Genomic DNA, 1,502 nt, shown 5'->3' on the forward strand with positions numbered 1-1,502 from the left:
GGCTGCAAGCCAAATTCTGCTGCTTGTTTTGAAAAATAAAGTTCCTTTGGAACACACCCATACGCATCCATTTATATATTCTATTGCTGCTTTTGTGCTACAATAGCAAAGTTAAATGAGTGCAACAGAGACCACCGTGAAAAGTCTAAAATATGTATTATCTAGTCTCCTATGGAAAAAGTTTGCTGATCCCTGATCTAAATATGCCAGTCAATGAACAGAGATTGTCAGACTAGATTTTTTTAAAAAGTCAAGATCCAACTATATTTTGCCTATAAGAGACACATTTTAGACTCAAAGACACAAATCAGTTGATAGCCAAAAGATGAGAAAAGAGAGATTAAGCATTCAATCATTTTAATAATTCAAAATGAATTAATGTAAGAGCTGAGACCATAAAACTTTTAGAAGTTTATGGCCCACTTCTTGGTATATATCCAAAGGAAATAAAACTAGTATCTCAAAGAGTTATCTGCATCCCCATGTTCATTGCAGCATTATTTACAATGGCAAAACATGGAAACAACATAAGTGTTCACTGATGGATGAATGGATTTTAAAAAATGGTAGATTCAAATGAAATATTATTCAGCCATAAGAAACAAGGAAATTATTTCATTTGCGACAATATGGATGAATCTGGAGGACATTATACTGAGTAAAATAAGGCCAGACACAGAAAGATAAAAACTGTATGATCTCACTTTTATGTGGAATCTAAAAAAGTTGAACTCACAGAAGCAGAGAACATAATGGTGGCCGCTGGGAGCTGGGGGTTGGGGTAAATTAGGAGATGTTGGTTAAAATGTATACACTCTCACTCAGAAAATGAATAGGTTCTGGGGATCTGATGTACAGCATGGTGACTTTAGTTAATAATACTGTATTGTTTGATAAGAGAGTAGATTTTAAGCCTCCTCACCTCTCCTCAAACACACACTCAAAAAAACGTAACTATGGGTGATGAGGATGTGTTTATTTGATTGTGGTAAACAATATACAATGTATAATGTATATCAAATCATCACATTGTAAACTTTCAATAATACAACTTTGTCAATTAAATATTTGTATATTTTAAAAGATGACAACGTGAAACAAAATCCTTGTGCCCTTGGATTAGGCAAAGATTCTTTAGACATGAAAAAGTATGATCCATAATGTTATGGGCTGATCACGTAACCCCAAATTCACAAAGTACTAACCCCCAACACCCCTCATAATGTGACTGTATTTAAAGACTGAGCCTCTAAAGAGGTAATTAAAGTTCAATGAAGTCATATTGATGGACCCTAATCCAATTTGACTAGTGTCCTTATAAGAAGGAAGAGAGACACCAAGGATGTGCATGTACTTTGGAAAGGCCATGTGAGGGACAGGGAAGGTGACCATCTGTAAGCCAAGAAAAGAGGCCTCAGAAAAATCAAACCCAATGATATCTTGATCTTGGACTTCTACCCTCCTGAACTGTGAAAAAACTAATTTATGTTATTTAAGCCACC

This window comes from Homo sapiens, chromosome 8, assembly GCF_000001405.40.
Source record: "Homo sapiens chromosome 8, GRCh38.p14 Primary Assembly".
NCBI classification, from domain to species: Eukaryota; Metazoa; Chordata; class Mammalia; order Primates; family Hominidae; genus Homo; species Homo sapiens.